Genomic DNA, 25,067 nt, shown 5'->3' with positions numbered 1-25,067 from the left:
TCTAATGCTTACACTGTTCATTTAACTGCCCTTTCACTGGATTAAAATGACCAGACTATGATTGAAATCTGGTGGAGTGGGAGCTCAGTCTGAGAAAGTATGAATCTTTATTTTATTTCAGATAAGCTCCTGGAAAATGTACATATTTTCCAAAGCAATCAATCAGAATTCACTTGGCAACTAAGCAATCCTACAGGCCCCAGTTCCCTTATGTGATTTATGAGACCTTCTCTTTCCAATAAAGTTGAAAGTACCAGGAGAATAGCTTCTCACCCAGCATTTTTTAACTGCAGCTTCCAAGCTAAGCCAAGAATTAGAAAGGCACACAATGGATGCAAAAATTCAGAAATGGAACACATTCTATGTGGAGGCAGAACATCCTCCTTAAATCACTTTCTAGCTCAATGTCTCTGCATTTTTCACTGATGCAAATATTACATGAAATACTGCTTTATACTATAATTCATAAAGGGTCATGCAGCATTGGGTAGTGTGAGTTTTGAGGGTTTTTTTAATTACACAAACCACCTTGAGGGAGTCAAAAGAACATAGGACTGAGAGGCAGGAGGCCTGAGTCCTAGGTCGCTGCTTGCCTCTTGAGTGAACTATCACTGCCCTATTTGTAAAATGAGGAGGGTCTATAGATAGCCTCCAGCTCTAAAGCTCTATACCACTGAACTCTACATGAGTACTCTAAAGATTATTTAGAGGCATCCTGTTGAGATTTCTGATCTCCCTGGCTACCACAAACATTAATTGAAAAGCTGTTTTATGCTAGAAGCTGAGCCTAGTGCAAGATACTCAAGATAAATAAGACATTATCTCTGCCCTTCAAAAAGCTCCCAATCTCGCTGCATACCATTAACATATTATGAGCTTAAGTTAGAAAAATCAGCAAAGTTCCATGGGCACATAGAGGGAGAGAACAAGGCAAGGGCATTTGAAATAAAGGAGGCAGGATTGGATACAATGACTAACGCCTGTAATCTCAGTACTTTGGGAGGCCAAGGTAGGAGAAGGGCTTGAGCCCAGGAGTTCCAGACAAGTCTGGGCAAGATGGCAAGGACTTGCCTCTACAAAAAAAAAAAAAAAAAAAAGCCAGGCGTGGTGATGCACACCTGTGGTTCTAGCTACTTGGGAGGCTGAGGCAGAAGAATTGCTTGAGCCCCAGAAGTTGAGGCTGCTGTGAGCCATGTTCAGGCCACCGTACTCCAGCTTAGGTAAAGGAGAGAGACCCTTTCTCAAAAAAAAAAAAAAAAAAAAAAAAAAAGGAAAGAAAAAAAACAAAGAAAAGAAGAAACAAAGGAGACAAGGCATGCAAAAGCATGGAGAAATGAAATGCCTTGCGTGGTGAGGGACGGGATGAGCAAGCCCAGGATTTGGCCTCCTTCTCTATCCTGGTCAATCAACCCAGGCAATTTGAAAGGAAACCCAGAGGTCTACTTATCTCTCTCCCTCCAGCTAATCTGTGCCCTACTTCCTTTACTCCGGACCCGTCTTTGTCCCTCTAGTTCTAGAGCCAAGCAAAAGGCAGTCCCACCCCCAGAGAGAAGTCCCTAAAGTTCAGTCCTCCTTTATCATTTCTTTACTGCCTGGCTCTGTGTTGTTTATGCCTAATGGCAGAATGGTGGGAAGAAAAACTGGGGTTGCCTTTAACCACTTCTGCTGCAGAGTGAAGAATTACTTCACTTCCATCCAATTTCCTGCTCAACTGTGTTTACTTCTTTCTCATTGTTCTACTTGATTGGTGTTTCTGGAAGAGCTCCTTGCTCCTTCCTCTGTAGAGTCTACTGTCAAATGGCAACCAGATCTCCCAGATCTCTTCTCTGGAGGTGTAGAGTGAGGATGTAGAATGTCTGGGCAAAATACATTGCCAGAAGTATTCATATACATCACTCTTCATAAAATATGATAGTATCAGAAACACGTGTCTATTTTTCTAGCAATGTTTCTGGTATTAACTCACTCTTTCGCTCTGTCTCCCTTATGATTAAGAGAACGTGACTGCTAGGTAACCGAACCAACAGTATAAAATTCAGGATTCACACTCAGATGTCTGTCTAATGCTTATAGCAAGACACTACAGTAACTCAGTATCAAACTAGCAAGCAATTGTGACAATCTACAATTATTATGCTATTAGATAGAGTAACTTTTCCCAATAGTATTTGATCAACTAACAAATGTTCCTCCCAAAAAAGAATTCTGTAATCAAACAATTTGAGGCAGGGTGCAGTGGGGCTCACACGGGTAATCCCAGCACTTTGGGAGGCCTAGGTGGGTGGATCACTTGAAGCCAGGAGTTTGAGACCAGGCCAACATGGTGAAACCCTGTCTCTACTAAAAATACAAAAAATTAGCGAGGTGTGGTGGCACACACCTGTAGTCCCTGCTACTTGGGAGGCTGAGACAGGAGAATAGCTTGAACCCAGGAGGCGGAGGTTGCAGTGAGCCAAGATCACACCCCTGCACTCCAGCCTGGGCAAGAGAGTGAGACTCTGTCTCAAAAAACAAAAGAAACTGAAAAATCAAACAATTTGAGAAAGTCCTGGGTTTAAAAAAGTTAAACAGGTCTCTACTACAGGACTTTTCAGATCCTTTTCAGATCCCTTAATTTGCTAATGTAGTCTGTAAGTCAAGAAAGTAATTCGGCGGTAGCAGCGCGGAGTCGGTAACGTTAGTACGCCGCTGGCACCTACCTTGACTCTCGCTGGCCGCGCAAACCCGTTTGTGCTCGGTATCCTAGTGCACACGCCTTGCAAGCGACGGCGCCATGAGTCTGACTTCCAGTTCCAGCGGACGAGTTGAATGGATGGCAGCAGTTACCGTTGCTGCTGGGACAGCTGCAATTGGTTATCTAGCTTACAAAAGATTTTATGTTAAAGATCATCGAAATAAAGCTGTGATAAACCTTCACATCCAGAAAGACAACCCCAAGACAGTACATGCTTTTGACATGGAGGATTTGGGAGATAATGCTGTGTACTGCCGTTTCTGGAGGTCCAAAAATTCCCATTCTGTGATGGGTCTCACACAAAACACAACGAAGAGACTGGAGTCAACGTGGGACCTCTTATCATCAAGAAAAAAGAAACTTAAGTGGACAGTTTTGATACTTGTCGTGAAATTACCTGATTGTTTAATTAGAATGACTACCACCTCTGGCTAATTCACCTACCCTGGGTTCTAAATATGGTATATTGCAAACTGCAGCTTTCACATTCATGGCATTTGTCTTACTTGTTGAAACATCGTGGTGCACATTTGTTTAAACAAAACAAAACGAAACAAAAAAAGAAAAAAAAAAGAAAGTAATTCACAAATTTACTAGATTCCTTTTTGCCAAAGTACATGTGAATCACTCTGAGAAACTGTTGAAAATTCATATTACCAAGCCCCTCAGAAGCAGCCCTGGAGCCTGTACTTTAACACCCCAGGTAGTTCAGATGCAGATGATCTGCACACTGAGAAATACTGACATGAAATGTTTCCCTAACTAGGGTTCTTGGAACACACTTTGGGAAATGCAAATGCTGGTGCAGGGAATTAACTCAAGGTCAGTCCCCAAAAGTGCTTGTTTCGTTCCAATACATCACAGTTCTCATTCACGTTAATTTAAATAGCTTGTTCTGTTATAGTTGCAAGATGACAACTCACTATTGAAAAAGGGGCAAACTAGCAATAGAATTAAGAGGAGGCAACCAGCTATTGACAAGGAAACCCCTAAAAGAGCTAATAATGGCAGCGTCAAGGTTTTTATTATTTAGTTTATTTCTAAACATAATCATCCAAATCAAAACAGACTTTTTCTAACCTCTTTTTAAGCCAGAGAAAGAAAAGAACACTTTATTTCAGGGATGGTAAATTTAAATCATCTTAGCACTTGGCAAGTTATGAGGTTTGGCCTCATAAGATTTTTGTGAATGTTGACTATTAACCACCAACACTTCCGAGCTATCAACAGTCAAGTACCAGAAACCGAAAACACCGACGGGATTTTGATTCTTTTGAATCAACAATATGCGAGATGGGTCATAACTACAGTGAGCCAGGAATAAAATGTTAAATATGCACTTCAGCTGTGTCAAATTGGAGAGTATTCCTAATATCTCAGTAGGACCTACTCCAGACTCATTCACTAATTAGCAAATACCACCTCAGGGTGCACCATGGGGACATCACGCTGGTAAAATGAAATCAATATTTCAAAGGGAGAAAGTACAGTGTTCTTAAAAGGCAGAGTAACTATATCTTAACAGGGCTTTCTAGACACAGTGCTGTGGTTGAATATAGATAATAATCACTATCTGAGGATAATTAAAAGTTGGTTTAAAAAATTATTTTAAAGTGGATCAGCTTAAACACAATATTTTATTTTCAAAAGAAGGGGGGAAATCTTGTAAAATGAGTGAAATTATTAACATCAGTTTATTTCATCTGTCTTATGGCTTAAATTTTGGCTACAAGACATTTAATGCTAACATTATACAGGACTGAATGTTTTGAAGATAAATTGTGTGAATTCATTATGGAATATTTTTTATTTGACTTCTTGTCAAAGATAGTAACTATGGGCACTCAAATATTATCTAAGAAGTTCCTCCTCTTATTTAATTTTGAAATCAGATATCATTAAGCTACAAGGGGGTCTTAGAGATTATAGAGTCTGTATTATCAAAAGACTTTTATTTATAGATTATAGAAACCTAACGTGGATTAAGCCAGTTTCTCATCCAACTAAAATACCAAATACATACATTAAGAGTTTTGTCTTTTTTTTTTTTTTTTTTTTTTTTTTTTTTGATACAGGGTCTGTCTCGCTCTGTCACTCAGGCTGAAGTGCAATGGCACGATCTTGGCTCACTGTAGCCTCCACCTCCTGGGCTCAAGTGATACTCCCACCTCAGCCTCCTGAGTAGCTAGGACTTCAGGTGCATGCCTACACATCTGGCTAGATTTTTATTTTATTTATTTATTTATTTATTTTGAGATGGAGACTGCTCTGTCACCCAGGCTGGAGTACAGCAGTGCAATCTCGGCTCATTGCAACCTCCACCTCCCAGGTTCAAGCAATTCTCCTGCCTCAGCCTCCAGAGTAGCTGAGATCACAGGCATGCGCCACCATGCCCAGCTAAATTTTTTTTTTGTATTTTTAGTAGAGACAGGGTTTCACCATATTGGCCAGGCTGGTCTCGAACTGCTGACCTCAGGTGATCTGCCCACCTCAGCCTCCCAGCCTGCTGGGATTACAGGCATGAGCCACTGCACACGGCATAAATTTTTAATTTTTTGTAAAGACAGGATCTTGCTATGTTGTCTGGGCTGGTCTCAAACTCCAAGGCTCAAGCAATCCTCCTGTCTCAGCCTCCCAAAATGTTGAGATTACAGGAATGAACCACCACACCAAGCTTGTCTCTATTTTTATTTGTCAATTATACCTCCATAAAGCCAAAGGAAAAATAAGAATCCCATCATTCTGTAGCCCTCAGCTCTACTTTTCTTTTCACTAGCAGAGTTCTTGGGCAAGCCCTCCCCAAATGACCGAAATGGCCCTCCTGCTACTCCAGGACTACATTTTACCAGCATAGTGACAAAGTAAAAAGCAAATGATTAGTTCAAGCCAGTGATGTGAAGGTAAGTGTTTAACTTTCCAGAAAAAAAAAAAATCTGGTTTATAACATTTGCCAATTTCCATGGTATAAATACTCCCACCCTGGCCAATTTCAACCTACCAACTTAACATCACTAAACATGGAGTTGAGAGGAGATGTGCAGTAGTCCATTCTGTAGTATTTCCACCATATAGAGTGAAAACACATAAATAACTCAAGATAATAGGTAATATAAGATGTAGTAAAATAATAAGGCAGCTGTGAGTTTGAAGTATTCACCTACCTTTGTTTTAATATACTTTAATTGTAAGTTTATATAATCTAATTGTTAATAATGGCTGTGTTTAACAACTGATTGACAAAACTCCTAGAAATTTAATAATTGGCTCTTGCGGACCAATATGAGCCAGCGCACCACCAGCCCTGCAGAAATCCAGGAGGACAGCTCACAGGAGCCTGATTTGGGTCACATGGCTATTTTTAGATTCATCTCCGGGTCCAAGAGGCTGTGGTGCTCTGACTGGCCCACGCTGGCCATGTGTCTGGGATAGACTTAGGCTGCAGACACATTGACTGATGATGGGAGACAGTGGCTCCACAACAGAAAACAACAGGGGGAAGAGGCTGGGCAGGCAAAACAACATATATCCATTTTAACAGTGGAAATACCTCACATAAAAGTAAGTGGGACAAGCACAGACTTCATTGTCCACTTTGAGAGTAAAAGAAAATGCTATTAATTATTATGCTTGTGCCACAGACATAGAGCAAGACGTATGGTCACACTACGAATAAAGAATACTAGGCCCAGGTAGAATAACTGGCTGGCAGAGCCACACACATCAAATGAGCAGCACAGCCAGGGCTAGGGACCAGATTTTCAGATTACCAGTTCAGTACACTACATAGACCTCAACTGTAATGGTGTTCCATTTTTCTTTCTTTGGGATGGTTTTCAAATAGAAAATCCCCCTAAATGAAGGAACAGAATATTCTTAGTGGCTGATGTGATCTGAACTCCTCTTTTTTAAATTATGTATTGTGCTTTTTTAGATTATGTATTATGTATTGTGCGTTTAATGTTTTTTTTTGGATTTCACTTGATTGTTTTAGAGCCTGGGTCTTGCTCTCCTGTCCAGGCTAGAGTGCAGTGGCTGTTCATAGGCATAGTCATAGAGCACTATGGTCTCCAATTCCTGGGCTCAAGTGGTCCTCCTGCTTCAGCCTCTCAAGTAGCTAGAAATACAGGCACCATGCCACTGTACCTGGTTTGCATTTATTAGTTTCTTACCCAATGTTTTAACTCACCATATATTACTTACAGGAATACAGAATTTTGAGGACAGTTTGACAAAACTAACAAAAGCCTTTGAATTCCATATACACAATTCCATATACACTTTGACCTAACAATTTAACTTCTGTGAACTAGTTTAAGAAAATAATCACAGATGTGTTCAAATATTTTACTTTAAGGATGTTCACTGTAAATTATTAATAAGAGTTAAAAAACCGGAAATAATTTAAAAGGTCAATAGACAAATGGTTAGACAAATCATAATATGTCAGTCTACTAAAGAGCCATAAAAATGATGTGGACAAAGAAAAAAGAAATGAAGTCCACAACATATGATCCCATTTTTTACAGGGGAAAACATGTCTGAAAGGATAGGCCATACCAAAATATTAACAATGATAATATCTACATTGAACAAAAGTTGTTTTTATATTTTTAAAGATTATCGCTTTTGTATCTTTTTAAAGATTATTAAATACCCAAGCCACCCAACTATTTTATTTTAACTATGCTCTGTTCATTGTAATATATTGGCTTTCTTACTGCATTCACCCTGGTTTAAAATCATTTCAAAACTATTTACTGGAGGTGGGTTTACCTTGTGGCAAAAATAAAAGCAAAGGAGACAGTGTTAAAAATACATCTAAAGAAAAATTCGTGTGTAAACATTCAGGATAAGAAGTCTGAATTCCCTGGCCTACAACTCTACCATTTTCAACTTTGTGTGCTGACTTTTTTACAATTGTTCTAAATTTACTTAAAACTGCAAACTTTGGGAAACTATTGTAAAACAACAGAAATAGATGTCAACTCAGATTATTTCCAAGAATCTCCCCTGCTTTCTCATGTAAAGGATGAATTCAGAGAGCCATGGGCTTTTAAGAATCCAGCAAAGTCTCACTGAGGTTTGACAGAGCCTCCAAATACAGTTTATAAAAGAGTCAAACGACCTAATTTTAAAATTCATATGACCAGAGGAAATTGAAGGAATAAAATTAAGTAGAGAATATGAAACAGAGAGGGGAACATTACAGTAAATGTCTTTCTTTAAAGTCATTTAAAGAAAAGTGTATGAATGTAAAGGTTTAAAAAACATTTCTTTTGCAAGTCACAGTGAATTTTTAAGCTATCCAAACTCATCTAATTGAAGACAAAATATTGCCCAAGCAACACACATATCCAGGAAGCCCTGAAGGTAGAAATCCACTTCCCTAGAAACATATTTATTTCACTCTTACAGCAACAGAAGGAGTGAAAGTAGAAACAAGGAAGCTTCAAGGCTCAGATTTTTAAGTTACAGCTATTGCATCAGAAAGAGGACTATACTTAGAAAATGAAAATATGGGTTTGGATCTTGGCTCTGCAATTTACCAGCTGTAATTTTTTTTTTTTTAGTTGTAGACACAGGGTCTCTCTGTGTTGACCAAGCTGATCTCAAACTCCTGGCCTCAAGCCATCCTCCCACCTCAGCCTCCCAAAGTGCCGGGATTGAAGGTACAAGCCCATCATGCCCTGCCTTCAGCTCTATTACTTTGGAAAGATCATTTAGCCGGTCTAAATCCCAATATTTTGGTGTTAAAATGCTAACAACTATACGGTTGTTATGAGCACAATGGCTGGTACATACTGTATTCTCAATAAATATTTGTTAAATGAGTAAATGATGTTTGTGAAATTACTTTGCAAGCTGTGCAGATAATCATACACTCATGCACTTAACACCACTTGACCCAATAACATATATTACTGATTTATTTTGTGTATATTCTACCTTCCCCAACTAAATGCAAGCTCCATTAGGGAAGGATTTTTTTGTCTTTTCTGTTTCAGGTCGTATCTCCAGAAACTAGAACCGCTCCTTGCACATACGAGGCACTTAACGAATATTTGTTAAATAACTTTTTGTGTAAGTGCTTGTCACATGCTAAGCCCTTAATCAATGATATCCAGTATTGTTATTCACCTGTAAAGCATCGTACGAATGTTAAGTATTCCAGGCCAGACGCGGTACCTCACGCCTATAATCCCAGCACTTTGGAAGGCCGAGTCGGGCGAATCACCTGAGGTCAGGAGTTCAAGACCAGCCTGGCCAACATGGCAAAACTCCGCCTCTACTAAAAATACAAAAATTAGCTGGGCATGGTGGTGCACACCTGTAGTCCCAGCTACTCAGGAGGCTGAGGCAGGAGAATTGCTTGTACCTGGGAGACAGGGGTTGCAGTGAGCTGAGGTCACACCACCGCACTCCAGCCTGGGTGACAGAGCGAGACTCCGTCTCAAAAAAAAAAAAAAAATTATGTATTCCCAAACATCCTGAATCATCCTCTTCTACCCTACTTTGTTTTAGCTTTAATATCATGCTAATCCTTCCTCACTAACTATATCACCAAGAACAATTTCTGAGAGCCTCCTGAAGTCAACCCATACATATTTATCTCTTAAGATCCTTTCCCATAAATCTGTCCTTCATGCCATTAATCATTTCTGTTTGTGAATTGTTTTCACCTTCTAGAATTTAAAACAAGGGCCTTACGGCAGAGATATGGAAATGGCAGTGAGAAGGATTATGTTTCAGGCTCTCCTCATATAATCTTGATAAGACATCTACAGCAGAAAGAGCTTTTGGGCTCTGAGAAACAAATGCTCTAGCACAGTAAATGCAATCTTCTCTTAACAGGAATTCTGTCCCAGTCTTTCTAGAATCTGTTTGAACTGCACAGGTACACATGTTGGGATGAGAAAGCTAGAGAAGAATTTAAATAGACCAACTTATATTTCATCAAGGAAGCTGATTCCCCTTTTCCCTGAGTGTAAGCTCCTGTAGGGTAGGGATCTTTCTCCACCTGGTTCATAGCTGCATTCCAGCAGCTAGCACAGAGCCTGTAACACACTGTCCTTCAATAAACAGTTGTGAAAAGAAATATTTGCGGAATGAACTTACTCTCTGATTAGATTTCAGAATACAAAGCTGCTCCTGGACAGTGGAAAGACAGGTCTATGAGAAGGCCTGGAATCCGAGAGACAGTCATAATCTTAACAGAGTAGAATGGAGATGTAGCAAATGGGTGCACGGAAAGGGGAACGTTGGTTTGTTACTAAAGAGAAGAAAATATATCTGATAGGTTAATCATTCCTCAGAAAGAGCTGCCTGATGATGGTAGAGCCACATCTTTTGGGAGGCTGTATCTCCTAACCCAAGGCAAACACACATTCAAACGTAGTAGGTCAGCCAATAAGAAGAATGTTGGTTTCTATGTTTTGAAAAGCAACTCCTAAAAATGTCAACCTCTCTTAACATGATTTGTTCTTTGTCACTTAGAATAACTACAACCGAGAGGGGGAAAAAGGAAGGCTAAAATCAGATTTCCTCACTTGGTGCCTCAAAGCAGCTTCAATTTGACCTATTTTGGAAGGATTCATCAAAAAACAAATTTTTGTTTCCCTCTCAGACAAGTACCGTTGTCTCAATGCACCTTTCATGTGCATTCTAACTTTGACAGATCATTGAACGGGAGTTGGGAAACTCCACTTACCAAAGAGAAAAGGTACTTTTTAAAACACCTCATAGTTACCTAAAAAGCTTCTCTCATCTCAAAAGTTGTGACTTCCTCCGTTTCTCTCACTGTTGACACCTCAAGGTGGTAAAGTTAGTTCTGCTCTGTGCAGCACTCTTAAAAAACAATGTACCTTTCAGACTCCTGAGTGTAAAAAGAACATAAAGTTGCATTTCCTTTCAAAAGCATTACAACAGGCTCCTAATAAAGACTCCATAGAGATTTCCTATAAAGCAAGGAGCTGTGAAAAGGCCTAGCATTTACTGCCATGTGACAGTGATGCAAATTGAAATGAAGCTCTAGGCTGCGCACGGTGGCTCACGCCTGTAATCCCACCACTTTGGGAGGCTGAGGTGGGCAGATCACCTGAGGTTGGGAGTTCGAGACCAGCCTGGCCAATATGGTGAAACCCCGTCTCTACTAAAAATACAAAAAATTAGCTGGGCGTGGTGGCGGGCACCTGTAATCCCAGCTACTTGGGAGACTGAGGTGGGAGAATCGCTTGAACCTGGGAGGCGGAGGTTGCAGTGAGCTGAGATCGCCCCAACTGCACTCCAGCCTGGGTGCAACAGAGGGAGACTCAAAAAAAAAAAAAAGTTCTAAATGATACACCTTGTTAATGTGCTGCAATTCTTTATCAACACTATGGAAATTGAAATGTTTCCTTTATCCTTAACTTTCTTGAAACGACGACCCAAATTCCCTTAACACATAAGCAGGAATGGGCAGGATTTCTACAGAAAAAAAAAAGAGTTTGGCTTTGGAGTGCATGATATATAGTAAATACCAGATACATTTTGCTTTATCTAGACGTTGCCCTTGGTCCCCTGCTCCGCATTGCTGTTCACCTGCCTTGCAGCTAACAGAATCCTCTACTTTTCTGAGAGGCAGTCTACCCAGACTAGGCTGCAGGACGTTGAGGCACTAGATGCTTATGATCTAGGCTTCTCCCAACTAAATGAAACCCTCATTTAAAATTTAACATCTTCCCATGCATAGTTTGTACTTCACATAGCATTTTCACAGGCATTATTTTATTGAATCCTCACCATAACATTGTGGAGTTTAAATTATTAACTCCTTATTCTACATGAGAAACAGGAGTAGAGAAATTATGACTTGATCGTACAGAAAAACAATGGCCAAATTGAGACTTTTTGAAAAAACGATTTCTGTTTACAGTGTCAAAGCTCCTTTCACTATACCCCAGTTGTCTCTGAGAAAATCTTTATGTAAACCCACAGGTCAGAATATCGGGCAGATGAACTGGCTAAATCCAAATATAGAAATATAGAAATAACCTGTTATATCGAATTCTTGCTCTTTTGTTTTTCCACATCATTTTTCATGTCATCACTTACCCCTGTTCCCAGTCATTGCAAAGTCATGAGTAAAAGTGGAGTAGAAGAGTAGAAGATTAACTTTGGAATTATTTTAGTGTTTTTGTGTTTTATATTAAACATCATTTAAGTAAGGCTAATTTTTTTTAACTTCTTGAAAGAATTCTCTCCATCCCTTTTTATTTAAATGTAAATTGCAAAATGAAATCACTAATTCGATTGATTTTTCATCAGATACCTGTGGGCCATGAAATCAATTATTCCTCATTCTGTGAGAGTGGTCCATCAAAAGAATAAAGTAAAACAAAATTAAATTAAATAATATTGGGTTTCATACCAATTATTCCCTTTCAAATTACAATTCTTGCAATTAAATCACACCAAAATGTGAATGGACTAATTGCAGGTCTAAGTTAACAATGCACAAGGTTTATAACCTGCAGAGAGTACTTGTCACAGACAATGACAGCTACCACTGTCAATTTTTTTTTGTTTTTTATGGTTTTTTTCTGTAGCCATGACTGTCATCAAAACACAAGGATATTTCAGTAATTGCTGACTTTTTTTCCTCAAAGATCATGTACAATTAGCTCAGATAGAATAATTAACTTCGGATAGACTATTTAATGGTTAAAAGTTTCTAGGAGAGCACTTTTAACTTATAACACAATTTTGGAGGAAAACTTCTATGCTTTCTGGTGTGAGATTTTTTTGGCTCAGTTTTTCAAGACCCACGTCTGCGTTTTGTTGCATGTTGGAAAGCTTCCTGTCCTTTGGAGAGTAGGGCTTTGATTTGAAATGTGTAGCTGGCTTCAGAGAGCCACGACCTGCCCCAGCTGTTGGAGAAGCTGAAAATAAAGGGAATCAACAATCAGCCAATCATCCAAGCCAGCAACCTGCTCGCTGTGGCTACCAGCCTCCCCACCACTATTTACGTAGCCTCTATCCTCCTAAGGCTCCTTCACAAGATGGCAGAGACCGAAGCAGGTGAAGCCCCAACTGAGAACCCTGCTCCCACCACTGAGCAGAGCAGCGCTGAGTTACACCAGGCACCTTCGCCATCATCAAGGCAACCTAAAGAATTAATGACCACTCAAAAATAACATAAGGCAAAAAGCAGACCTCGATCTTACCAGCATCAAAGAAACATCTGAGCAAGAAAGTGGAAGACTAACCAAGATTTGGACATTAGAACGTTTACTATTATTCTTTAAGAAAATAACAACTGCAAAAGGAAAATGACAGCAAATTTTTCCAGTAAGCTGAGACACTGGGAATGCGTGCACAGCAAAAGACAAGACAGCAACCTCTCCAGTTTTCAGCAAACTTAGGGTTGTTTTTCCCCATTTTTTACGGTTTTGGTTATATAAATTGAAAGAAGCAATATGTGAATTCAAAGAAGAAATATTAATACCACCTCAGGAGAACCCCAACCAAAAAAAATCTGAAATATATAGCAAAGGCTTTTTATTTTATTTTATTTTTGTGTGTTCATTTTGTATGCTGGTGCTAAACTTCCAAGTGTTCTGATTTAAAAAGAAATTTTATACCCTTCTTATTTATCTCTGGGATGTGGGGAGAATAACATTTGTACTTTCTTATGAGACTTTCTTTGAAAATGTGCAGTAAGGCCGGGAGCGGTGGCTCAAGCCTGTAATCCCAGCACTGCGGGAAGCGGAAGCTGGTGGATCACCTGAGGTCAGGAGTTTGAGAACAGCCTGGCCAACATGGTGAAACCCAAAACCCCGTCTCTACTACAAAGTTACCTGGACATGGTGGTGCACGTCTGTAATCCCAGCTACTCTGGAGGCTGAGGCAGGAGAATCGCTTGAACATGCGAGGCAGAGGTTGCAGTGAGCCGAGATTGCGCCACTGCACTCCAGCCTGGACAACAGAGTGAGACTCCGTCTCAAAAAAAAAAGAAAGAAAATGTGCAGTAATAAATTCCTCAGAAATAAAATATTTACCCTTCAAAGGAAAAAGAAAAGCATTTTACATATATGTACATATATTAAGCTATTTGTACCTGAAAGCAGTCATGGAAGGTAGTGCTAAAGTATGCTCCTGGGTGACAGGCAAAATGGATTCCCCATGGCTAAGGTGCTCAGATTTAAAACAGAACCAGGTGGTCACGCTGGGTGAGGGAGCTGTCACACACTCTGTGTTATCAGAAAGATGTTATAAAATGTCACAGGATCTCCCTTTCTGAAATCAAGCCAAACAAGTTCCAGTTGTCAGTGCCAAAATAAACTGTGACTAGAAAAACCACCACCACCCCAGCCCCACTTCCAGCCAATTGAAAAGAACGTCTGACAGAGACGTCTGGTTTTAGACTTGGAAACCAGCCAATCAAGGCTCACCAGCCCCAGCCAATCAGGGCTCAGCTGTAACAACCAATCAGAACTAAGAAAGTGTCAATCTGTCATTTGCATAAACAGACCTGATTAGGAACCTGGACAGGAACTGATTGGATTTTTTGTTTTTTGGTTTCTGGTTTTCGTGGGTTTTTTTAGATGGAGTCTTGCCCAGTTGTTGGCCAGGCTGGAGTGCAATGGTTTGATCTCAGCTCAATGCAACCTCTGCCTCCTGGCTTCAAGCAATTCTCCTGTCTCAGCCTCCCGAGTAGCTGGGATTACAGGCAAGTGCCACCACACCTGACTAATTTTTTTTTAAATCTTTAATAGACTTGGGGCTTCACCATGTTGGCCAGGCTGGTCTCGAACTCCTGACCTGGTGATCCGCCCACCTCAGCCTCCCAAAGTGCTGGGATTACAGGCATGAGCTGCTGCGCCCAGCTGTGTTTTTTGTTTTTTTAAGAGATGTGTCTTGCTCTGTTGCCCAGGCTGGAGTGCTGTGGCACAATCATAGCTCACTCTAGCCTCGAACTCCTTTGCTCAAGTAATCATCCTTCCTCGGCTATTTGGGAGGCTGAGACATGAGAATTGCTTGAACCCAGGAGGCAGAGGTTTCAGTGAGCTGCGATCGCACCACTGCACTCCAGCCTGGGTGACAGAGCGAGACTCTGTCTCAAAAAGAAGAAGAAGAAGAAAGAAGAAGAGGAAGAGGAAGAAGAGGATGAAGGAAGAAGAAGGAAGAAGAAGGCAAAGAGATTTTAGGTTACTCAACTTACTATATAGGGAAATCAAACCCAAGCACTGAGGCTCAAAAGTCCTGGTACTTAATGTCTTTTGTGCCTACTCCAGCATGGAAAGAGAAAAACCCCTGGGGGTTTCACGCCCAAGAAATGCTGAGAGCACCACAGAGGCCTAGGTTCTGAACAGACTGTGCCAGAGTTTTGGGTGCAGAATCCTGGGGACTGGAGGCAGTGGTTAACAGCAGTGTTAACCAATAGATGGGGAAGATTCAAGTGCATAAGAAAAGCCAGTGTCAAGGCACGTTGCATTAACTTCAATAGATGCAAGAACGGCCCAGGCGAATACACAGGATGGGGCAGGACAAGACAGTTCACCAGGACGGGATGCTCACTCTGCTGCAACTGAATACCATGCTGCAAAGGTGCGGTGGGAGGAGGCCCTTGAGAATGGTAAGGAGGAACCACTAAGACAAGACATCATTTCAAGTAGAAGAAACTCCTATACCCTTAATCAGTAAAATCAAGTGTTTCCTTCCTTAAGGAAGCTGGAGACCTAGATCATTAGTTCATGTGGTAAAAAATAAATTTGCAGGCTCATGTCTGCCCACGGTTTTCCACTCTCTGTTCTCTCTTTCTGGAATGTTCTACCCAGGTCTTTATAGTCTTTCCCTGGCTTCATTTGGATGTCTGTTCAGATGCCACTGCTCAGAGAGATCCCCACTGCTTCCGTGCCCTTTCTCTGCTATAATATACCAATCATTCCCTGTAATCACTTTGTTCATTAATCTATCCCTCAACTAGAATGTATGCTCTGTGAGGATAAGGACTTGTCTCCTTTACTGCTTTATCCTCAATGCCTAAAACTGTGGTCAATGCACAGTAGATGCTTAGTAAATATCTGAATAATGTATTCATGTCAACCACACTGCATTCACATTTAGCATGATAATGCTAGAAGGGAACGTAGAATTCAATCTGGTGGCTCCAAAATGATTTTTTTTTCTTTTAATCGGCAGTAAGTATTCTTTAAAGACTGTGGTAAAATCAGAAAAAGTCCTAACAGGTCTGCTTGTGCCCTGGAAGTGAGGGATGGGGCACTTTCTAGGAAAAGTTTTAGAAAACTGTTTAGAGACCACTTATCTAGACCAGTTGCTTCATTTTTCAATTGAGGATATTGAAGCCCAGAGAGGTTAGATAATTTGCTGAAAGTCACTAAGTCCAAAGTTAGTTAGTTTTCATGAGCTTCAGTCTAAATGAACACTATATTTGCAAGTTACTTCTTTTGCACCAGGCAGAGTAAAGATTCTGGTTCCAGAAGTAAGACCATCGTTTAGATTTCATGTGATGTAAACTACCCTGCCTGCAGACTCCAAGGGTCATGAAATTTCTTGAATATTACAAATCCAGGCTCCAGGTGAAGAATGCCGTTTCTTAGTTTTCTGATCTAACAACTAAAATTTGGCAAACCAGCTAATGGTATGATGTGTGTTTCCTCTACCTTCTGAAGGGAATCAAAATATTTTTCCCCAAAATATATTTCTTTGACATATTTTGGAATGACAACCAGAGAACCAGCAAAATGAGGTAACACCCTCGAAACCTGTCTTTTGCTGGGAAAATTGTAACCGCCCAATGGGTTCACCTTGCCCGCTGCCTAGACAGAGCTGATTTATCAAGACAGGGGAATTGCCATGGAGAAAGAGTAATTCACGCAGAGCCATCTGTGTAGAAGACCAGAGTCTTATTATTACTCAAATCTGTCTCCCCAAGCATTCAGGGATCAAAGTTTTTAAAGATAATTTGGTGGGTTGGAGCTTGGGAAGTGGGGAGTACTGATCGGTCAGGTTGAAGATGGAATCATGGGGGTCATGGTGAGTTTTTCTGTCTTCTGTTCCTGGGTGGGATGGCAGAACTGATTGAGCCAGATTACCAGTGTGTGTGGTATCAGCTGATCCATCCAGGGCAGGGTCTGCAAAATATCTCAAGCACTGATCTTAGGTTTTACAACACTGATGTTATCCCCAGGAACAATTTGGGGCGGTTCAGACTCTTGGAGCCAGAGGTTGCATGACCCCTAAACTGTAATTTCTAATCTTGTAGCTAGTTTATTAGTCCTGCAAAGTCAGACTGGTCCCCAGGCAAGAAGGGGGTCTTTTCGGGAAAGGGCTGTTATCAATTTTGTTTCAGAGTCAAATCATGAACCGAATTCCTTTCCAAAGTTACTGCGGCCTACGCGCAGGAATGAACAGGGACAGCTTAAAGGTTAGAAGCAAGATGGAGTGGGTTAGGTTTGATTTCTTTCACTGTCATAATTTCCTCAGCTATAATTTTGCAAAGGCAGTCAAATGTTGCATCTATAGATAATCCGCATTGATGCAGCCAGGCCTTCCCTTGTCCACGTCCAGCAAAGATTAACTGAGAGTCCGACATCTCGAAAGGCCTAAGGAAACAGTTACTAGTTCGTCTATCTGAGGGCTGCTACCCATGAGGTGTCATTTACATAACAAGACCACCTTTGCTAGCCAAGTCTCTTCTCTTCCTCCCATAACCTGTCTTGCCACTAAAACCTGACTTACACCATATGCTGTTTTTGGCCATGCACAAATCCCCCATTCTCTCTGTAACCTCAAGATGGTATAGAAGTTTCTGCGACCCACTAGGGGATTGGGTCTTCATTCTGAAGTCTCCCCATCTACAGCATACACATTAATAAATTAGCATGCCTTTCTCCAATTAGCCTGCCTTTTGTGAGTTGACTTCTTTTTTTCAGCAAACCTATCCCTTTGCTCCTAGAGTTTGGCTTAGTTGGTAGGGTCAAAATTCCATTCTTCTGGAAGCTACAGATAAGAGAATCTAGGACCTGATCCATGGGCAAAAGGGTAAGAATTTCTTACAGCCAGGCTCCCAGGATCTCTCTCTGTACAATCCAGTCAAGTGGATGGCAAAAATCACTGTTGCCTCTGCAAAATTCTGATTAATGGGAGAAGAAGACTTATGTGACTAGTCTTGGTGCAGTGACTCTAGCGTACTATTTGGTACTTTGTGATACAAATATTCATATTGTTTGATATCTTTCCTCCCAGAAATAGTCCTTTCCTTTGACTTTGGCTGTCATAAAGAGGGGCACTGGTTGAGGCTCCCTCTGTTTTTGTTCCATGTCCCTGAGAGTTTGACTTGTGACCAAATGGAAGCACTCTCTCTTGGTCTCTGCCATCCAGGGCACATGATTTTCAGATCACATTAGGTGGTCAGCCTGAAAATGACCTGGAACCCAAGATTTTCATTCCGAACGTATGATGCTTTTGGGATAGTTTGTCTTGAGATGTTCCAACCCTACAGGACTTATGTCATTTCCATTCTTGTTGCCTGGTTAGTGCCAGAAAAGTCCAATTCCAGGAAGGCATATGGGGTGTCTCAGATTAGCAGGTCTGTGACTGGTGTCCCCTTATAAATTTGTGGGTTACTAGAGGCAAACACCATCCTTAAACATCTGTCACAACAAATGCCTTTCGCTGTCTTAGCCTAATCCTGGTGTCAGAGGCAACTCCATCTTGAATAGGGGCTAGGTAAAGTAAAGCTAAGACATGCTGGGCTGCATTCCCAAATGGCTAGGCATTCTAAGTCACAGGATGAGGTAGGAGGTCGGCACAAAATACACAAGGTCATAAAGACTCTGTGGATAAAACAGGTTGCAGTAAAGAAGCCAGCCCACCAAAACCAAGATGGCAACAAGCGTGTCCTCTGGCTGTCCTCACTGGTTGTCCTCACTCCCACCAGCGTCACGACAGTTTACAAATGCCATGGCAATGTCAGAAAGTTACCCTATATGGTCTAAAAATAGAAGGCATGAATATTCCTCCCCTTGTTTAGCATATAATCAAGAAATGACCACCAGCAGCCGTCGAGGCTGCTCTATGGAATAGCCATTTTCTTTTCTTTTTTTTTTTTTTTTGAGACAGAGTCTCACTCTGTCGCCCAGGCTGGAGTGCAGTGGCATGATCTCGGCTCACTGCAACCTCTGCCTCCCAGGTTCAAGCTATTCTGCCTCAGCCTCCCTAATAGCTGGGACTACAGGTGTATGCCACAATGCCTGGCTAATTTTTGTATTTTTATTAGAGACGGGGTTTCACCTTATTGGCCAGGCTGGTCTCGAACTCCTGACCTCGTGATCCACCCGCCTCGGCCTCCCAAAGTGCTGAGATTACAGGCATGAGCCACCACGCCCGGCCGGAATAGCCATTCTTTTATTCCTTTACTTTCCTTTACTAATAAACTTCCTTTCACTTTACTCCATGGACTCGCCCTGAATTCTTTCTTGGGCAAGATTCAAGGACTCCCTCTTGGGGTCTGAATCCAGACCCCTTTCTGGTAACATTGGGAGTGGATTTTTTTTTTTTTTTTTTTTTGGGTGGGGGCAGTCTTTGGGTTTGCTTCTTCTATGCCCTCTCCAGGAAGCACCTTTTTTTCTAAACTTGGAAAATTACATCCTGGGCTTTCCGTAAAAAGGCAATTGGATTGAGTTGCTATTGGAATAATTTCCACTGGAAATTCTAGTTGTCAATGGCCAGAAGATGGATACTTTAAATTAGACTCCTAAGTTTAAAACAAACAAACAAACAAACAAACAAACAAAAACAGAGCTCTCTTATTCTAAATAATTGATGGGAAAATCAAATTAAAAGAAAGACACATAATACTGTCATGACCAACCTTAGAAATTCTCGTGATCAAATTAAATAGTAAAACTCTGACCTAAAACAAAGTTAAAATCCTGCTCTAACTGCTCTAACTGCCTACTTTGGATCCCTGCAGGATTAACAATGAGGGCTGCTTCGCTTTGTAATCCAAAAGTTAAAACGTTCCCCAAAAGCAAGAAACTATTAACTATTAGACTACCACACAGCTTGGATTAGATTTCCAGTAAGGAAATCCGTCCTTTTCGGTTTGTTTGTGTGACTTTTTGGGATGCCCATTCACCTCTCTGGAATCACCTCATGCATCCTTGGTTAAGTCATATTCTTGGTTCACTTGGGAGGATGTCTTTGGTAAAAAAATAATAATAATAATAAAATAAAAATTCAAAAGCCAGAAATATCGGCTGTTTTTCCCAGCTAAAATCTGAGAATAAGGCCAGGTGCAGTGCCTCACTCCTGTAATCCCAGCACTCGGGAGGCCAAGGTGGGTGGATCACCTGAGGTCAGGAGTTCGAGACCAGCCTAGCCAACACGGTGAAACTCTGTCTCTACTAAAAATACAAAACTTAGCTGGGCATGGTGGTGCATGACTGTACTACTACTCAGCTACTCAGCTGTACATGACTGTACTACTACCCAGCTACTCAGGAGGCTGAGGCAGGAGAATTACTTGAGCCGAGATCATGCCACTGCACTCCAGCCTGGGCGACAGAGTGAGACTCCATCTCAGAAAAATAAATAAATAAATAAATAAATAAATAAATAAATAATCTGATAATAAGAGATTTTAAGATAATTTTTTAAAGGCTCTATGGTTAACAGTTCACTTAATTAAAAGCTAATATTCAAACTACTTATATGTATAGGTATATTTTAAAGGACTTTTGGTATATGTTAAAGGACTTTTGGCTTTTTCCCGTTTGTATTCTGTTTTTAAAATTTTTTTCTCAATTGACCAACATTTTTTTTTAAGTATGTGCCTGGTCCCTCTGCTCACTTCCTTTCTTAAGAATTGTTCTCCCATTTACTTTTACTGCTCCCTGTTCTTTCTTTCCCTTTGCCATCTTTGGTACCACATGAAAAGATCTATGGGGACATCTAATGACTCAGATCCCTTATGGAACACAGAAAAAAGCATCGCTCACCCCATTTTAGGGTCTCCTGTCTTCCTGTAGAGTCTAAAGAGTTGTGGACAGATTCCTCTCAGCTCTAAAACTATGCGCTCTTTTGTATTTTATCACCTGATCTCTTGGGCTTTTGGGAGTAGCAGAGATTATTTTTTACTGAGAGGACACTTGCCCTTTGTGTCTATGATGACTGCAAGTCCCTGGCAAGAGCTACAGTTTTAGAGGTGACTGACAGCAGTCATTTACAATAAATGATTATTACGACAGGGGGCTAGTTATTTTTTTCATGTTTAAATAAGAAAGGCACAATCTAAACACTTAGAGAAATGTCTCTGTAGCACAGTGCACTGTGGAAGCATTGCATGGCCCTGCCCATGGTGTTTTCCTCTTTTGGGGGACCCACGATTCAGTTCAAGGGTGAGATCATTGGTTTTTAAAGGGTTAAATGTTCTGTCTTCCAACTACAACTGCTTTTCATGTATTTAAAATATCAGGCCCTAAAAATTGCAAATGCACTGTTGGCCCTGTTCCTTAATGGGCTCTGCCATGAGCTCAGTGATCTAGTTAGAAAACAGAACTAAATTAACAGCTATCTGCTGAAATGAAATTGTTCTCTTTATACAATTCTATGGTAAATTCCTATCATTTTGTGTTACCTTGGCTTCTTTCTTTCTTTCTTTCTTTCTTTCTTTTTTGTTTTTTGCTTTTAGTAGAGATAGGTTTTCACCATGTTGGTCAGGCTTGTCTCAAACTCCTGACCTAAAGTGATCCACCCTCCTCAGCCTCCCAAAGTGCGAGGATTACAAGCATGAGCCACTGTATCTGGTCTACCTTGGCATTCATTTTTAATCTTCCTCTAACACAAACAAACTCCTTATTGAAAAAGCTTAAATTATCTCTATGTATATGCTTTGAGATATAAATTGCTATCTGGTTTTCTCTAAAACTCAATAAGCGTTTCTCAGGATAAACCTTAAAGTTTTCCATTTATAAAGGCACAGTTTTCCTCCCGCTGTCCCTTTAAATTAGTGAGTTTTACTATTCTCATGGCTAAAATTCTAAAATCAAAACTATAAAGCCTTTATTGATGTCTGTCTATGGTTTTCTGTGTTCATGTGTATTGTCTGTTTGTATACTATCTATATGGTACCAAATTGATTTATAAATAAATGAGCACTCATAAATTAGGTAAATAAGCTTAAATGTTGTTTAAGTTCGTATGATTTTAGTAATCTTTGGCAAATAGTTTGTTAAATTGTAAATAAAAACATCTTTAGAATATAATTTAGACAATTTTGCCTGGGTCTATTGGTCAGACAGGTTTATACTGTCCTGATAAATGTTTTAAGGTCATAAAACTGTTGCTTCTATGTTATTTTTAATACTTGAATAATTTGTCTGTGAGCTTACATCTTTGGATTTGAGCCTTTAGATTCTGAAGTCTAGATAAGTGACCATAGTGGGGTGTGGGGACAACACTTAGGCCCTTTCCTCCCTTGCTCAGCTGTGCCTCTTGGCCATGCTGAGAGGGGTTATATCCTCTAAGCATTGTCTTCACAGCTCTGTTTTTTGTCCTGGACATTACATCTCGTACATGATTAAAATTGCTTACTGCTGAGGCTTTTCATAAAAAATAAGGATTATTAAGAGTAAACATTTAATTAATATATGTAATTAAAACTATTAGATATAAGAGAAACAATTCCATATGTAAAGTATATAAAGAAAGTAGGAAGGACTTTTGGTTGAAAAGAAAAGTTATAAAAAGGCATGAGAATGTGGTTTTTGTTACAGGGAAAGTAACGAAATTTACTTGGCTTCTAAAAGTTGGTTTTAGCTTTTAAAAGTTGGATTATATTAAAGAAATTTAAAAATCGATAAACTAAATGGATATAAAAAGTTGGAAAAAATGAGAAAAATTGTAAGAGGTTATAAAATATTTATAAAAATCTTATGGTTAAAACTGATTGAGATTGGATATATTTGCTTACAAGTTTTTATTAAAATTAGCATGAACATTAATTATACACTAACACAAAGGTAGAATTTGGATTTCTTTTTTGAATAAGATTTTTGTATAGTATTAATAAGAGACAGAAAAATATTTTTGTTTAACTTTTCATTAGACTACAAGAAAAAGAGAGGGGAGAGAGGGAGAGACAGATTTTTGTTTCCCTTATGGTGTTTTTGTCAGGTTTTATAATTGGGAAACTGAGTGTCCTCTCTGTTGAAGAGTAAAATGTTTTGCTTTTTAAAATGTTTTCATTATCACTTAGCTAAATTAATGACTATTATTTTATAATGATCTGTGATCCTATTTTGAGCAAGCGTTTTAAACTTTTGATATTTGACAAACTTTCCTAAATCAACGTTTCAAATTCTAAACTCAGTTTTTTTAACCTCAGACTAACTTTATTTATATTACGCCCCCTGGAAGTTCAAACGAGCTATATTAGGATTATTTAGTATGTTAAAATCATACAGGAAGCATTGTCAAATATGAAATGGTGTTTAACTTTCTTTGCATTGTATTTGTGTAAATGCATTATTAATATATATTCCAAAATTATGAGATTTCTAAAATTCTGATATATTTTAGTATATGTTAATAATAATTATGATTATTATGTTAAATTATTGCATGTCATAGAAATAACCAAATGTCCTTGTCAAATGTCATTAGCCATAGTTATTCTAAGATTTTTGTCATCCACAGACAATTATTGTTTTACTATGATTCTTCTCAAAAAGTGGTTTATAATCAGCTACAGTATAAAATTGCTTCTTTAAGAAAATGTGTGGAAAAGGCTCTGACAAGTACTCTTATTCAGGTTTCTGATAGCTTTAGAGATTATACCATTGGAATAAATAAAAACTTCCAGCATTCATGAGAATTGCTGGCCCAACATCAGGCAAAACAAGAATTAATTACATGGGACTGAACTAACAGAGGACTAAAATGATGTTTTATGATTTCTTTTGTTTGAAACACTGCTTTTTTTTTTAACGTTTTGTCTTCCAGGGTCAAGAAAACTTTTTCTTTTGAGCTATTCAAGCTTACAACAAATTGGGTAAAGTATATTTTGTGAGCAAAACCTGAAGCTTTTATATTTCTCTCTAACTCATTTCTCCAGAATTTGGAAACTATATTTTTAATTTATAGCAATATAGTTATTTGCATAAATTCAATAAAGATCTGTTGTATTTATGTTTGTTTGTTTGTTTCTCTAACAGGACACAATTGGAGATACTGGTTACTTTACAAAGCATTTAACTGGAATGGCATATTTTCCATAATGACCAGACTGCTTTGAGGAATTAAGGTTGACTTATAAAGCTCAAAAAAAGCTTCTTGGAAAGGCTGGTCTGGTATGTTGTCTGCAAGGTTCCTTTACAAGTTCCCTGACCTTTGGTAACTAAGGAATGTCACTTTCTGACAGTCCCAGGAACCTCAAATTATTTGAGCACTTTGAGGAAAGAGGAACTCACCCAATTCATACAGATATTGCAATAGTCTGATGGCAAATCCTTGGCATGGCTTCTAGCCTTGAGGCTTTTAAAAGTCTAATCTGAGATTCCTTATGAAAAAGTTCCAGCAAAGTCAGTCTTAAAAGAGTTTATATGCAGCCTGAATGACATAGTAAGAATCCCATCTCTAAAAGAAGAAGAAAAATAAATAAAAATAAAAAAGCCTATATAGCCAATCACAATTCTTGCTGCACTTTATGCAAATAACCAGGCCAAGTATAATAAGACTAAAACTTATCTTGAAAATACATTTGTCCTACTGTAATTTGTCTTTGGTAGAAATAGAGGACCGTAGAAATAAAAATTATGTTCCAAAAGAAAACTAGAGTATACCTGTTATGAGATTCCAGCTGTGTCCATTATTTTTGAGTTTTTATTATATGCCTACACTTTGGATTGAATTCTGAATTTTTTTCTGGCCACACGTCTCCAAACTAATATTTCCAAATGCTTCTTTCGTTTTCCTGACTTGGAATCACTAGACACTAAAACTGTGCTTTTCTTAAAGCCTTGCAAACTGAAGCTAAGCAACTTAAATGAACTTCAGGAGAAATCCAAGCAACTTTTATAAATCATCTTCTCACCTCCTGATGTATGGACTACTCAGAAAGTTTACTTGAACACTTAATTCAAACTACAATCCAGAAAAATCTGTCAGATTGCCATTGCAATTTGAAGATGCTTCAGAGACTCTAGAAAAATTAGTCTATAGAGTACTCCAGATATTAACCTTTTTCTTCTTTTTCCATAGAAATGCCTCTTATTAAAGATCTGTTTGCCTACATCATATGTAGAGGCCTATCCTATCTGCAATGCCACCT

General features: G+C 39.4%; 1 long non-coding RNA gene and 1 pseudogene across 1 annotated transcript in view; both read left to right on the top strand.

The window, feature by feature from the left end:
* The window catches only part of LINC02402 (long intergenic non-protein coding RNA 2402), a 30,996-nt gene extending 6,584 nt beyond the window's left edge, over positions 1 to 24,412 (top strand). The window contains exons 4-6 of the long non-coding RNA NR_110042.1: positions 5,514 to 5,634; positions 10,229 to 10,454; positions 23,953 to 24,412. This is a non-coding gene — a long non-coding RNA (long intergenic non-protein coding RNA 2402). The remainder of the gene's footprint in view (positions 1 to 5,513; positions 5,635 to 10,228; positions 10,455 to 23,952) is intronic.
* LOC390308 (CDGSH iron sulfur domain 1 pseudogene) lies at positions 2,657 to 3,302 on the top strand (annotated as a pseudogene).
* Positions 24,413 to 25,067: the final 655 nt, after the last annotated feature.

This window comes from Homo sapiens, chromosome 12 (genome assembly GCF_000001405.40).
Source record: "Homo sapiens chromosome 12, GRCh38.p14 Primary Assembly".
NCBI classification, from domain to species: Eukaryota; Metazoa; Chordata; class Mammalia; order Primates; family Hominidae; genus Homo; species Homo sapiens.
The sequence above is the reverse complement of the archived record's forward strand: the minus strand, read 5'-3'. Positions and strand labels throughout refer to the sequence as shown.